The 15,942-nt window shown below is 41.0% G+C and overlaps 1 pseudogene, besides 1 other annotated feature; it reads left to right on the top strand.

Moving 5' to 3' along the window:
- Window positions 2,807-3,101: a silencer, noted in NCBI's record as "tiled region #1235; HepG2 Repressive non-DNase unmatched - State 24:Quies". NCBI's record gives its function as "represses a minimal TATA promoter and a strong SV40 promoter by Sharpr-MPRA in HepG2 cells {active_cell/tissue: HepG2}" and the evidence as "EXISTENCE:reporter gene assay evidence [ECO:0000049][PMID:27701403]".
- On the top strand, window positions 2,918-4,124 carry LOC100132659 (single stranded DNA binding protein 2 pseudogene; annotated as a pseudogene).

The raw sequence follows: 15,942 nt of genomic DNA, 5'->3' as shown, positions 1-15,942 counted from the left end.
CGAAAGGACATTCCATCTTATAAGATAAACTCAAATGCTGCCGAGAGCTCTAAGGGACTAATGACCTCTCATATTAGAGTTCTTCTTATTTTTAAAGAAATTTTTTATGCTTCAGCTACTAAAGAGACAGTGACTAATAGGGATGAGCATAAATAGATATTTGTATCTTTATGGTTTAGAATTCAGGTCTGTAGAAGCAATATAACTATATGTTCAACAATAGGGGCAGAATAATTCCTGTGTGTTAGGGACAGGGGTGAGAGGTACATTGACAGGAACTGGCAAGGACAGATATTATGGGTTCCATCAGGAAAGAGACATGAGCCTGCTTGGACATCACACCTCTACAAGGAGAAAACTCAGTGTGGAAATGTTAGTGCTGCTGACAAACTGGGCACTAGGGCTGTGGTATGGGGAATCTGATTGAACTGTCTGAGCTTAACATAGGTAGTGGGGAGAAACTAGACTGCTAGCAGATAGTAGCAGATAGTCCTCTGAGGGAAGATGTATGTAAAGGCTTGAATAGGAGCTGGACCAGAAGATTCCATAACCTTATATAGTGTCAATGGCAGAACAGCAGAGGACTAGCAGTGACAAATGGGTCACAAGACATCAAAGAAAAATGCAGCAGCTGCGACTGTAGACTAAAAAATCAAAGATGTTCTCTACTCAGAATGTAGCCACCCTCAGCACTGAGGGTCCTGGTATAGTGGAGGAAGTATTTCAATGATAAATAAGACTTGTACTCTAATGGGATATATATAAATAAATAGAGAAGTATATAGCTAGTTCTATACATATATATTTATCTTTTTATATTTACGTATAAAGACATTTATACATATAAAATACTAGTTATAGAAAATTTAAAATATGGCCAGGCACGGTGGCTCACATCTGTAATCCCAGCACTTTGGGAGGCCGAGGCGGGAGGATCACCTTAGGTCAGAAGTTCAAGACCAGCGTGGTCAACATGATGAAAATCCATCTCTACTAAAAATACGAAAATTAGCCAGGCATGATGGCACATGGTAGCCTCTCAGCTACTAGGGAGGCTGAGGCAGGAGAATCACTTGAACCAAGGAGGTGGAGGTTGCAGTGAGTCGAGATTGCACCACTGCACTCCAGCTTGGGCAACAGAGCAAGACTCTGTCTCAAAAAAAAAAAAAAGAAAAAGAAAAAGAAAAAGAAAAAGAAAAAAGGAGTTCCAGACCAGCCTGGCCAACATGGTGAAATGCCATCTCTACCAAAAATACAAAAATTAGCCAGGCATGGTGGCATGTGCCTGTAATCCCATGTATTCAAGAGGCTGAGGGAGGAGAATCCCTTGAACCCAGGAGGCGGAGGTTGCAGTGAGCCAAGATTGTACCACTGCTCTCCAGCCTAGGTGATAGAGTGAGACTCCATCTCAAAAAAAAAAGAAAAAAAGAAAAGAAAATATAAAATATTTATACATTCTACATTTAATATATATTTTTCAAGTAAAGGCTTTATTTTCATATAGAAACCAAGGACTACAGAACAGCCTCCAGATTCAAAACTTCTGTTTCAGTAATCCTTGGTTTGCATATTAGGTAGGAAAGATTCTAGGAGTGCTAGATCTTTACAAGAAAACTTCTTAATATCATCCTTTACTTCCACCTTCATAATCCCATACATACTATATACAGTTTTAGGTCTATATTAAACTGTTCAAAGAGGACGGGCCCAGTGGTTCATGTCTGTAATCCCAGCACTTTGGGAGGCTGAGGCAGGTGGATCACCTAAGGTCAGGAGTTCGACACCAGCCTGACCAACATGGTGAAACCCCTTCTCTACTAAAAATATAAAAATTAGCCAGGCATGGTGGCGTGTGCCTGTAATCCCAGCTACTCAGGAGGCTGAGGCAGGAGAATTGCTTAAATCCAGGAGGCAGAGGTTGCAGTGAGCCGAGATCATGCCGCTGCACTCCAGCCAGGCCCACAGAGCCAGACTCTGTCTCAAAAAATAAATTAAATAAATAAATAAATAAATAAATAAGCCTGGGCGCAATGGCTTACACCTGTAATCCCAGCACTTTGGAAGGCCGAGGCGGGGGGATCACCTGAAGTCAGGGGTTCAAGACCAGCCTGGCCAACATGATCAAACCTTATCTCTACTAAAAATACAAAAATTAGCCAGTCACTGTGGTGGGCACCTGTAATCCCAGCTACTCAGGAGGCTCAGGCAGGAGAATCACTTGAACCCGGGAGGTGGAAGTTGCGGTGAGCCCAGATCGCGCCAGTACATTCCAGCCTGGGTGACAGAGTGAGACTCCATCTCAAAAATAAATAAATAAAATAAATAAAGTGGTCAAAGAAAGGGAAAAATGAAAAAGGTATATTAATAAAGAGTTACTCAAAATCATGTTAGATGAAATGTGTTAGTCTTAAAAAATAGTTTTTGGCCAGGCATGGTGGCTCACGCCTGTAATTCCAACACTTTGGGAGGCCTGGGTGGGTGGATCACGAGGTCAGGAGTTCTAGGCCAGCTTGGCCAAGATGGTGAAACCCCGTCTCTACTAAAAATAGAAAAATTAGCCAGGCGCGGTTGTGGGCGCCTGTAATCCTAGCTACTCAGGAGGCTGAAGCAGGATAATTGCTTGAACCCGGGAGGCGGAGTTTCCAGTGAGCCGAGATCACACCACTGCACTCTAGCCTGGATGACACAGCGAGACTCCATCTCAAAAAAAAGAAGAAAAAAAGAATAATTTTTAAAGTAGGATGCAATCAGAACTTTTATACATATATAAAATTAACACGTCAAAGATTTTATATAGCTTTGTAATTAATGAGGGAAGCAGTAACATGCTACAACTGATTCATAGATAGGAGAATTAAAAATATCACATATATAATAAGCAATGAGGAAACAAATCTATAAACAAATGCAAAAGCCGTTGGTGTGAGGCAGCCAATAGTGAAGGTGGCTACATGGGTTGCCATGGGGACAGGGCTGTTTCCAGGGAGGCTGTGATGGGGTAACAAGTGCATGACAATGGGAGTTACTCTCAGCAAAGAATGTACAGCAAAGGCAAGAGTAACAGCAGCATTAACCCATGTGACAGCCACACCTTGGTGAAGTTAGCACTTTACATATATGAATATCTGCTCCATGTAGGAGTTCAGAGATCATCCCGAACATTTTTATCAGAGATAAGATGGGGGAAAAAATTGGGAGAACCACCAGGATTCTTACATTCCTGGTGTTGTGTATTTTGGGATCTCTATTTGGCAGCTCCAGAGCCAAAGGAAACATGTGAACACTCAAGTGTAACAAAAAACTTCCATGATTATCTTTTTATATCACCTTGGTACCCTGGAGGTCCAAGGTTCCCATTGAAGATACCTAAAGAGGCACTTGGAAGTATCCTAGGAAGTCAGCCATTACTCCCCAGTGGAATCCAACTTGACAACAAGGACATTTAAGTATGGGTGGGCCAATTTCTCCAAGAGGAATGGTGCCCTGAGGGCCACAGTCTGATCCTTGGTTGTCAGTACAGAATGATGAAGGTGCAATGAGATGCCCAGTGAATGCTTTAGGTGGCTCTGGAATGCCTAGAATGAACATGGGTCTGGAGGGTGGCAGATCTTGGCCAAACCCAACAAATGCCAATTCAGTACCATACTCCTCAACATCTCCTGGGAATTACATAGGCCCTCCAGGAGGTGAGGTCCACAGGAACACCCGTCATGTCTAGTCTAGCAGATTTAATCAACCCTGGAGATATGAATGAATGCAGTATGTTGTAGACCTAACAGACCTAATTTTCCAGTGGAATCTGGGTCAGATGGTACCATGGATGGAGTAGGAGGAGGAATGGAGTCACATCACATGAATGGCTTTTAGGCTCAGGAGATATGGACGGTATTTCTAAGAATTCTCCTGATAAAATGAGCCTGAGTAATCAACTGGGCTCAGGGATAATTGCAAAACTGGGGGAAATTTTTAAAATCCTTTTCAGGGAGTTACTCCTCTCGCATAACAGTGAGTGTGTGATCCATTACCAAGTACCCTCATGTAAACCACAGTGAACTAGCCCATCACAGAACTATCATAAAGGAAAATTATTTATCACAGCGTACATTTAAACAAAGGAATCTGTCCGGGCGTGGTGGCTTACACCTGTAATCCCAGCACTTTGGGAGGCCAAAGTGGGTGAATCACTTGAGGTCAGGAGTTTGAGACCAGCCTGGCCAACATGGCAAAATCCTGTCTCTACTAAAAATATAAAAATTATCCAGGCATTGTGGCACATGCCTGTAATCCCAGCTACTCAGGAGGCTGAGGCAGGAGAATCGCTTGAACCTGGGTGGCTGAGGTGGGAGGATTACTTGAGTCTAGGAGTTCAGGACCAGCCTGGGCAACAAAGTGAGATCGTGTCTACTACCAGCTAGTCAGGAGGCTGAGGAACAAAAATTGCTTGAACTGGAAGGCGGAGATTGCAACGAGCCAAGATCACACCACTGCACTCCAGCCTTGGTGACAGAGTGACACTCTGTCCCCCACCCCAAAAGAAAAGAAAAGGTACAAAGTGGCATATTAAAGTTGACTTAAACTGAACTGCAAATAATTATGTTTGTATGTATATGTGTGGGAAGAAGAATGTACTGTATCTGTGTGTGTTATATGGACATATACACAAACATACATTGACCCTCAGGACATTGTAAAATATTATCACATAACATCTTAGGTAGAAATAAGTAGGGATATTTATTCCATCCTTTATTCACATTAACATTTTAATTACTAAAAGTTGCTTCTGCATCCTCCCTGAACTATTGTGTGCTATCTATGTCCCTGCTTTATGCAAGTTCATTCGTCCGTTCTTTCTTTTCTTTTCTTTCTTTCTTTCTTTCTTTCTTTCTTTCTTTCTTTCTTTCTTTCTTTCTTTCTTTCCTTCTCTTTCTTTCTTTCTTTCTTTCTTTCTTTCTCTTTCTTTCTTTCTTTCTCTTTCTTTCTTTCTTTTTCTTCCTTCCTTCCTTCCTTCCTTCCTTTCTTCCTTCCTTCTTTTTTTTTTTCGACAGAGTCTCACTCTGTCACCTAGGCTGAAGTGCAGTGGGACAATCTGGGCACACTACAATCTTCACCTCCTGGGTTCAAGTGATTCTCTTTCCTCAACCTCCCAAGTAGCTGGGACTACAGGCATGGGCCACCATGCCCAGCTGTAAGTTATTTCTTAAGGTGAACTCAGATGTTATGTTTTTGTAAGTGTCTGCAATCATGGACAGGAATAAAATCACTTAGTTGAGAGTTTATATTAAAAAAAGTAAATAAATACAAAACTTGCTTATTACAGAAATGGAAATAAAGAAATCAGTTGTGTTTCCACCTGACAAAATTAATTTGCATGTTTGTGAATATGAGCTTGTTTGCACTGCTATCCATTATCTACAATTTGCAGAGTTGTAAAATATCTCAAAGACAATGAAAGGTGCAATGATCCCAGCTAAACCACCTAATTTTCTACTGAAGTCATCAGTAATCTTTTTGATGCATTTCAAAGTCTTTTATAGTTTTTCTCTACATTAGCAATCATGGAAAAAGTAGATTCCTTTCAGATGCTCCTATTTATCCCTCAGTTCTTTCACAAATAACTCCACTAGAAGCTTTCAATTAGCCGGGTGTGGTGGCAGGCACCTGTAATCCCAGCTACTTGGAAGTTTGAGGCAGGAGAATCCCTTGAACTTAGGAGGTAGACATTCCAGTGAGCTGAGGTTGCACCATTGCACTCCAGCCTGGGCAACAAGAGGGAAACTCCGTCTCAAAAAAAAAAAAAAAAAAAAAAAAGAAGAAGCTTTCCCTGATCCTTTCAACTGATTGTAATCTCTCTCTTTTTGTAGCTCCACAATCCCATTGTCTCTTTTATGACAGTGTCTCACTTTACTATCAGTGATACTTATGTATCTACCTTATTCTCCATACTAGATTTTAAATTGCTTTTCTTGAATCCTCTGCATTAGCTAACAGTGTCTACATATATAATATGCTCAATAGATATGTGTAATTGCATTTAATGTAATTCTTATATGCATTCAACTAGTCTTAATCAGCTTTGCTTATTATAGGTAGAGATAGCACCCTCCTGCAAAGTAAGATCTGAGGAGTGATCTTTATCTGAAACAGGTCTTAGTCAATTTAGGAAGCTTATTTTACCAAAGTTAAGAACACAGGCCCATGACACAGCTTCAGGAGGTCCTGATGACATGTGCCCAAGGTTGTTGGGGCACAGCTTGGTTTTGTACATTTTACAGAGATTACAATATGTAAGATGTACATTGGTTCTGTGTGGAAAGGCAGAATAACTCAAAGCGGGGAGGGGGCTTCCAGTTCATAGGTAGGAAAGAGACAAAGGGTTGCATTCTTTTGAGTTTCTGATTAGCCTTTCCAATGGAGGCAATCAGATATGCATTTATCTCAGTGAGCAGAGAGATGACTGAGTCCTCTCTGTCCTTTCTCTACAAGGAAATTTCTTGTGAGAGAGGTATGTAGCTTTTTATCTTAGTAGCTATCTTTTTTAGGAATAGAATGGGAGGCAGGTTTGCCCTAAGCAGTTCCCAGCTTGACTTTTTCCTTTGGCTTAGTGATTTGGCGAGGAGTGGGTGGGGGTGGAGGGTGTCCCAAAATTTATTTTCCTTTCACAGACTCATATTCCACAGCATTAATACAAATCAAAGAACTCCAGACAATGCTTGCTTTAGATCTGGCCTGTTCCCAAATCTCTCTCTCTTGAACTATGAGTGCCTGAAAACATTTCCAGTACTAGATTTACTAATGAATTTAGTGAATTAAGGCATCATCACTAAAAGGCAATTATGGTGCCTCACTACCCATTAGCTGCTATTAATAGAGCAGTATGGAGCAGTTTACCAGTTTGATAGGTCTCAAAAGAATGGTAAAGAAAAGGAAGTGAGTTTTTTTCCTTTCCTTTAAATAGGAAATGAGGAAGTAGAACACTTGTAGTTGGGGATGTGTTGGGTCTACATTTAATAAAGATAAACAGAAGTCCTTCATGGTCATCCTTATGAGAAGATTTTACTGGTATTTTCTCTAGTGCAATTAGAAGTTTAGAAAAAGATTTCCATGAAAAGTGTGAATAAAATATTTTAAAACCCTTTTAATGGATGCCTCTTATTTTTTGAAATACAGTTTAGATCGTGATCATCAGCTAATATTTATGGGTTGGCATTACATTGAAATATTTATGTTACTGGATGTGGAAACAGATTGGAGAAGTTTAAAACACTGTCTTTAAAACTGGCAATGATTGCTGTGGGACCCAGAAACAGTTGGCATCCTTGCATAAAAGACACTCGATGCCAATTACTTATGCACTAAATGGGTCTAGAATTCCAGATTAAATTGTCTGCAGTTTTGATTCAATTAGCTTTTGATTCAGTGCCTATGTCTTTAATGACAAAGCTATTCCAGGAAAAGTTGAGCCCTGGAAAAGTTTTATCTAGCTAAGATCCCCCTGAAGGGAGGATGTGAGTCACACTGCACTTACATTGGCAAATAAAACCGTAGTGCATGTCTGCTCCCTGTGGATTTTAATTTGCAGCAACAATAAACTTCAAGTAATGGGTCTTAGGTTAAGTGGTTGAATATCAAATTCAAGTCACAACTAGAAGGTCTTGTCTTAAAAAAGGTGAGGTAAATGTCATAGGCCAAATGGTCTCAGAGGCCTTGTAGAAATGCCTCCCCTCTCACATTGAGATAGCTTGATTTTTCCTCCACCCCAGATATTGTCATGTGAGTCTTTTCACTTTAATTAGTTCTTTTTTTTTTTTTTGAGACAGAATCTTGCTCTGTTGCCCAGGTTGGAGTGCAGTGGTGCAATCTCAGTTCACTGCAACCTCCACCCACTGGGTTCAAGCGATTCTCATGCCTCAGCCTCCTGAGCAGCTGGGATTACAGGTGTCCACAACCATGCCTAGCTGATTTGTGTATTTTTAGTACAGACAGAGTTGCACCATGTTGGCCAGGCTGGTCTCGAACTCCTGACCTCAAGTGATTTGCCCACCTTGGCCTCCCAAAGTGCTGGGATTACAGGCGTGAGCCACTAAGCCTTGCCAACATTTTTTTCATCTATATTTTTATCCACTCTCCCCACTAACACTTGTGTTTTGAAACAAATCCCAAGTAATATAATTTTATCTGTAATATTTCAGTAAATATCTCCCAAACTTAAAAAGTCTTTTTGTTTGTTTGTTTGTTTGTTTTTAAATAACTGAAATGCCATTATCCCAATGTCACACTTTGGGTTCCTCCAGAAGCTGAAACAAAGACAAAAATTTAAGTGCAAGTCATCTGAGAGAGGGAAACATCAGTGGGGAAGTGGAGGGAGTGAGACAGAAAAAGGAAGGTTCTAAGTAAGACTTTCGCAGATGGCTGAATCTGAGTTGGGCAAGCATTACCTCCTCAGCACTTGCAGAAAGCCACAGGGGCAGGCCAACAAGACTTCAGGAGGCAAAGTCTTCAGGCAAAGAAATGCAGTTGTTGGCTGCTAAATTCAGGGTAGCATGCCCTGAAGTGGTAAGGGTGAGAGACTGTGGAGCCCAGGGCCAACAGCTTCTCTTACACAGGCTTAAAAACAGTAAACAGCCTGGGCGCAGTGGCTCACGACTGTAATCCCAGTACTTTGGGAGGCCAAGGTGGGTGGATCACGTGAGGTCAGGAGTTCGAGACCACCCTGGCCAACATGGTGAAAACCCATGTCTACTAAAAATACAAAAAATTAGCCGGGTGTGGTGGTGTGTGCCTGTAATCCCAGCTACTTGGGAGGCTGAGATAGGATAATTGCTTGAACCCTGGAGGCAGAGGTTGCAGTGAGCCGTGATGGCACTCTTGCACTCCAACCTGGGCAACAGAGCAAGACTCTGTCTAAAAAAATAAAATAAAATAAAATAAAAACAATAAACAAGTAACAAGCCAGTGTTCAAATTATTGCTAGTATGTCATACTATTTGATTTTACAGCTTATGTGTCCAAATCATTATCCAAGTAAGGTCCATTTATTGTAACTGATTTACCATCATATGCTGTATAACAACATTTTGGTCAAAGACAGCACATAATACAACAGTGGTCCCAAAAGATTATAATCCATATTTTTACTGTACTTTTTCTATGTTTAGTTATGTTTCCTCACACAAATAAGTACCATTGGGTTACAATTGCTGACACTATTCAGTACAGTAACATACTGTACAAGTTTGTAATCAAGGAACAATAGGCTAACCCACATGGCCTAGGTGTGTAGTAGGCTATACCATCTAGGTTTGTGTAAGGATACTCTATTATGTGGGCACAATGACAAAATTGTCTAACAACACATCTCTCAGAATGTGTCTCCATTGTTAAGTGATGCATGACTGTACATGTTTTTTAAGTCTCTTTTTCTTTCCATTTTTTTATTTAGAAATTTTGAAGCATACAACAAACTTAGAAGAATATTATTGTGAACAAATATGTTTATCGAGATTAAACCATTAACATTTTAAATATATTTGCCTTATCACATATCTACCCATTTGTTCATCCCTTTATGCATTTCAGAGTAAATTGCAGATATTGATCATTTATCCCTAAATACTTTTACCCTGAAACACTTCAGTATAAAAATCATTACTAAGGTTTATATTGTTTATTTATTTATTTTTTTGAGACGGAGTCTCACTCTGTCGCCCAGGCTGGAGTGCAGTGGCATGATCTTGGCTCACTGCAACCTCCACATCCTGGGTTCAAGTGATTCTCCTGACTCAGCTTCCCAAGTAGCTGCGACTACAGGTGTGTGCCACCACGCCCGGCTAATTTTCTGTATTTTTTTCTTTTTTTTTTTTTAATTTTTTGTATTTTTAGTAGAGACAGGGTTTCACCACGTTAGCCAGGATGGTCTCCATCTTCTGACCTCGTGATCTGCCCGCCTCGGCCTTTCAAAATGCTGGGATTACAGGCATGAGCCACTGCGCCCAGCCCATTTTTTCCTTTTGAGGTAAAATTTGCAACAACGAAATGCACAAATTTTAACTGTATATTTGTGGAGTTACGATAAATGCATGTACCCTATGTAACCTACACCTCCATCAAGATATGGAATATTTCTACAACCTCAGAGAGTTTCCTCATTCTCCTTTTCAGTCAATCCCTACCCTCAACTTCTCAAAGGCAACTTTTTTTTAACCTAATGTTGTTCACAATGTTCTCTTACTTTATTTTATTTTATTTTTTGTTCTAATGTCTGTGGTATCTGTGGTGATAACTACTTTTTCATTCCTGATATTGGCAATTGGTGCTCTTGTTGGGAACAAATTTCCTGTGGGTTCCTTCATGTTTCTGCAGGTCCTGTGAGTAGAGGCACTGACAGCCTTTGTTCTGAGTTATCTTTTAAAGATGTTTGTATTGCAAATCACTTGGTAAATAGTGACAGTGGAGCCCTCTAGAGCAGGGACAGGTTTTTATTTTTTTTTATTTTTTTTTATTTTAACTCTCTGGTACAATAAAGATAATTTCTACCTCAGGGGTAAAAGTCAGTCAGGTTTTCTTGCAGTCTACTATAAAGGATTAAGTTACTAAGCCTGGGTTTCCTTAACTGAGATGCCAACCCACTACATTTATAACACCTATAACACCTACCTGGGCCACTCTGTGTCTTTCTCATAGGACTTGAGGGTCTAAAAGAACTAATGCAAATGTGAAGCTCATGCTGCTTGCTGGCTGTGAGTGGTAAAGTGCTAGTCTCTGGCTTAGGAATCTCATTTAGCAGGCCAGATTCCGTGAAACTCTGGCAGATTAACTTGTTAGCTTTAACAGGAGGGTACAATCTCAGACTCTTGAAATTCTTGATGTTTGTCTTCCTTCCTTCCTTCTCTCTCTCTCTCTCTTTCTTTCTTTTTCTTTCTTTCTAGATGGAGTTTCACTCTTGTTGCCTAGGCTGGAGTGCAATGGTGAGGTCTCGGCTCACTGCAACCTCCACCTCCCAGGTACATGCAGTGATTCTTCTGCCTTAGCCTCCCAAGTAGCTGAGATTACAGGCACCTGCCACCATGCGCGGGTAATTTTTTTGTATTTTTAGTAGAGACGGGGTTTCACCATGTTGGCCAGGCTAGTCTCGAACTCCTGACCTCAGGTGATCCGCCCACCTCAGCCTCTTTGTAATCCCCTGTTGGGATTACAGGCATGAGCCACTGCGCTCAGCCTTTTTTTTTTTTTTTTTTTTAAATAACTAATTCTAGCAAGGAGTTTATCAATTTTGCTGATCTTTTCAAAGAACAATTTTCAGCTTTGCTAATTTTTTCTATTACTTTCCTATATTTTAGTTAATTGATTTCTGTTGTTATCTTTATTTCCTCCCACTTACTTCGGGATTTACTTTGCTCTTTTTTTCCCTAGCTTATTTATGTGGAACTTTTGGTCATTGATTTTTAGACATCTCTTCTTCACCAACATAAGCATTTAAAGCTATATATTTCTGAATAGGCATTGCTTTGGATGCATCATACAAATTTTGATATGTTGTATTTTTATTCATTCAGTGTGAAATACTATCTAACTTCCTATGTGATTTCTTCTTTGACCAATGGATTATTTTAAATATCTTGTTTATTTACACATATTTGAAGTTTCCCTAGATCTTAGTTTTATTGATCTCTAATGTAGTTCCATTGTGATCAGAGAACATACTCTGTATGATTGCAATTTTTAAAAATTTATTAAGACATTTTAAGATCCACTATATGGTCTATCTTGCTGAACATACCACATGCACTTGAAAACAAAATGTATTCTGGAGTTGTTGGATGTGGTGCTTTATAAACATCAATGAGGTTGTATCAGTCAGAGATCACCAGAGAAACAGAACCAGTAGGATGTGTAGATGAGAGAGAGGGAGGGAGAGAGAGAGAGAGAAAGAGAGAGCGAGAGGTTTATTATAAATAATTGGCACATGTAATTGTGGAGGCTGATAAGTCTGAGCTCTGCAGTCAGCAGGCTGGAGATCTAGGAGAGCAAATGGCATAGTTCCAGTCCTGGTCCAAAGGCCCAAGAAGTAGAAGAGCTGATGTTGTAGTATCAGAATGAAAGCCAGCAGGCTCAAGACCCAAGAAAAGCCCATGTTTAAGTCTAAGCCTGAAAGCAGGAAAAAACCTGATGTCCCAGCTCTAAAGCAATCAAGAAGGAGGAGTTCCCTTTTGTTCTATTCAGGTCTTCTACTGATTGGATGGGGCTCATTCACATTAAAGAAGGCAGTCTATTTTACTCAGCCTACCAATGCAAATGTTACTTGAACCCAGAAATACCCGCACAGACACACACAGAATAACATTTGACCAAATGTCTGGACACTCTGTGGCCTAGTCAAGTTGACACATAACATTAACCATCACAGAAGTCAAGGTGGTTTATAGTATTGTTCAAAACACCTATGAATTTCTTGATTTTTTTTTGTTTAACTGTTCTATCTATTGCTGAGAGCAGAGTGTTAAAATCTCCTGCTGAGATCATGAAATTGTCTATTTCTCCTTTTAGCTCAGTTGATTTTCACTTCATGTATTTGGAAGTTCTGTTATCAGGAATGTGAATCTTTATGATTAGGTATATACAAATTATTCTTTTTTTTTTCTTTTACTACATCTGTAGCAAAACTGCATACACATTATTTCTTCTGAAGAATTGACCCTTCTTTTTCTTTTTTTTTTTTTTTTTTTGAGACAGAGTCTGGCTCTGCCACCCAGGCTGGAGTGCAGTGGCACCATCTCGGTTTACTGCAACTCCGCTTCCTGGGTTCAAGCGATTCTCTTGCCTCAGCTTCCCGAGTAGCTGAGACTACAGGCACGTGCTACCACGCCCAGCTAATTTTTGTATTTTTAGTAGAGACAGGGTTTCACCATGTTGGCCAGGATGGTCTCAATCTCCTGACCTTGTGATCTGCCTGCCTCAGCTTCCCAAAGTGCTGGGATTACAGGCATGAGCCACTGCACCCTGCTGAGAACTGACCCTTTTATTATTATCAAATAGCCCTCTATCTCTGGCAACAATTTTTTAATTTTATTTAATTAATTAATTAATTTACTTATCTTTATTTATTTATTTATTTATTTAGAGACAGAGTTTCGCTCTTGTTGCCCAGGCTGGAGTGCAATGGCGCAATCTCGGCTCACCACAACCTCTGCCTCCCGGGTTCAAGTGATTCTTCCGCCTCAGCCTCCTGAGTAGCTGGGATTATAGGCATGCACCACCATGCCTAGCTAATTTTGTATTTTTAGTAGAGACAGGGTTTCTCCGTGTTGGTCAGGCTGGTCTTGAACTCCCAACCTCAGGTGATCCACCCACCTCAGCCTCCCAAAGCGCTGGGATTACAGGCGTGAGCCACCACGCCCAGCTACTGGCAACAATTTTTGTCTCAAATCTGCTTTTCTGCTATTATAATAGCCACTCCAGCTTTATTGTGCTTATATCTTTTTCCATGCATTTCTTTTCTATTCTTTTTTTGAGACGGAGTCTTGCTCTGTTGTCCAGGCTGGAGTGTGATCTTGGCTCACTGCAACCTCCACCTCCCAGGCTCAAGCAATTCTCATGCTTCAGCCTCCTGAGTAGCTGGGATTATAGGAGTGTGTCGCCACACCCAGCTAATTTTTTGTATTTTGTTTTATTTTATTTTTTGAGATGGAGTGCACCACCACACCCAGCTAATTTTTTGTATTTTGTTTCATTTTATTTTATTTTTTTGAGATGGAGTGCCATGGCACAATCTTGGCTCACTACAACCTCCGTGGGCCTCTGCCTCCTGAGTAGCTGAATTACAGGCACCTGCCACCATGCCAGGCTAATTTTTTTGTATTTTTAGTAGCAACGGGATTTCACCATGTTGGCTGGGATGGTCTTGACCTCCTGACCTCAGGTGATCTGCCTGCCTCGGCCTCCCATCCCTGGGATTACAAGCGTGAGCCGCTTTTCCCCGACTCTGCATCCTGTTTTATCAGCAGGTTCTTCCTGTATCTTGTGCCAGTCTCCTATCTCATCCTGTGACTATTCTTGCCTAACCTTCTGGGGATGCAGCCCAACAGATCTCAGCCTCATTTTACCCAGCCCCTATTCAAGATGGAGTCACTATGGTTCAAATACCTCTGACATCCCCCTACACCAGTCAGAAGTTCAGACCTCCGGAACTCCTGACTGATTGGCTTCAAGTTGGGGTTCCCATGACTCCCTCTTTGAGTTCTATTAATTTGCTGGAGTGGCTCAAAGAACTCAGGAAATAATTATATTTACTGTTTTTTTGTTTTGTTTTTGTTTTTGTTTTTGTTTTTTGAGACAGAGTTTTGCTCTTGTTGCCCAGGCTGGAGAGCAATGGCATGATCTCTGCTCATTGCAACCTCTGCCTCCCGGATTCAAGCGATTCTCCTGCCTCAGCCTCCCGAGTAGCTGGGATTACAGGCTTTTGCCACCATGCCTGGCTAATTTTGTATTTTTAGTAGAGACGGAGTTTCTCCATGGTGGTGAGGCTGGTCTCGAACTCCCGACATCAGGTGATCCGCCTGCCTCGGCCTCCCAAAGTGCTGGGATTACAGACGTGAGCCACTGCGCCTGGCCTACTGGTTTATTAAAAAGGATATTGCAAAGGATACAGATGAAGAGACGCGTAGGGTGAGGTATGAGGGAAGGGACGTGGAGTTTCCATGCCCTCCCTGTGTGTGCCACCCTCCAGGAATTTCCATGTGTTCACCTATCTGGAAGCTCATGAACTCTGTCCTCTTGGATTTTTATGGAAGCTTCAGGACATCAGCATTCCTTCCCGCAGGGTATAGGGTGGGACTCTCTCGTGGGAGGGTCTTAAGACCCAGAGTCAGAAAGGTGCGGAAACTATGGAAGAAGGGCAGGAGAAGGTCAGAGGCCTGTTCCTGAGGTCTAACATACCCAACTTTATAACAAATGACTGTAACAAGGGCTATGGGAGTTATGAGCCAAGAGCTGTGGATGAAAACCTATATATATATCACAACACCACAGGCTGTTACTTTTTCCCAATCTAGCCTCTTATCCACTTTTCAAGGACTCTTCATAAGTTCTGGACCTTCAATGGCCAAGGTTCTTGTTTTCCAATGCACTGATAAGTTTAAGTATGTTAAGTATGTTTTCTTTTCTTTTTTTTTTTTTTGAGACAGAGTTTTGCTCTTGTCGCCCAGGCTGCAGTACAGTGGTGTGATCTTGGCTCATTGCAACCTCCATCTCCCTGGTTGAAGTGATTCTCCTGCCTCAACCTCCCGAGTAGCTGGGATTATAGGTGTCTGCCACCATGCCCGGCTAATTTTTGTATTTTTAATAGAGATGGGGTTGTACCATGTTGGCCAGGCTGGTCTCAAACTCCTGACCTTAGGTGATCTGCCTGCCTTGGCCTCCCAAAATGCTAGGATTACAGGTGTGAGCCCCCACACCCGGCCTAAGTATGTCTTTTCTATCAGTCCTAGGGATTTATGGCATGAAGAGAAGGCTCCAACCACTATGTATCAAACTCACTCTTTTTCTTTCTTCTCTCTCTCTCTTTCTAATAGTGACAACACAGATTTAATTATTTAGCTAAGTAGAAAAGGAATAGGAGCAATTCTCAGTAAGATGGGCTGAGAAAGGCAAATGATACATTTTTCAGTCATCGTAAAGGGAAGACTTTTAGGAGTTCAGTGTTCTGATTGTAATAGAATACTAAGCCTGTTAAGTTTATAAGTTTGATTTATCTCAAAGTTCTGCTTATTTCATCTAGGCTTTGAATTTACCTTGAATTTCTCCAGTATTTGCCTTGAATTTCAGATTTTTTTGGTGGACTATGCTTTTAAACATAAGATTCTAAAGTTACATTCAAATACTGCCACCTTGTGGGTTATTCTTTGTTTCCCCATCCCACCCTTTAATTTGGTGGAAACAGATTCA

Source organism: Homo sapiens, chromosome 6, assembly GCF_000001405.40.
Source record: "Homo sapiens chromosome 6, GRCh38.p14 Primary Assembly".
Lineage (NCBI taxonomy): Eukaryota > Metazoa > Chordata > Mammalia > Primates > Hominidae > Homo > Homo sapiens.
Note: the sequence above shows the minus strand (reverse complement) of the source record. Positions and strands in the feature narration are given on the sequence as shown.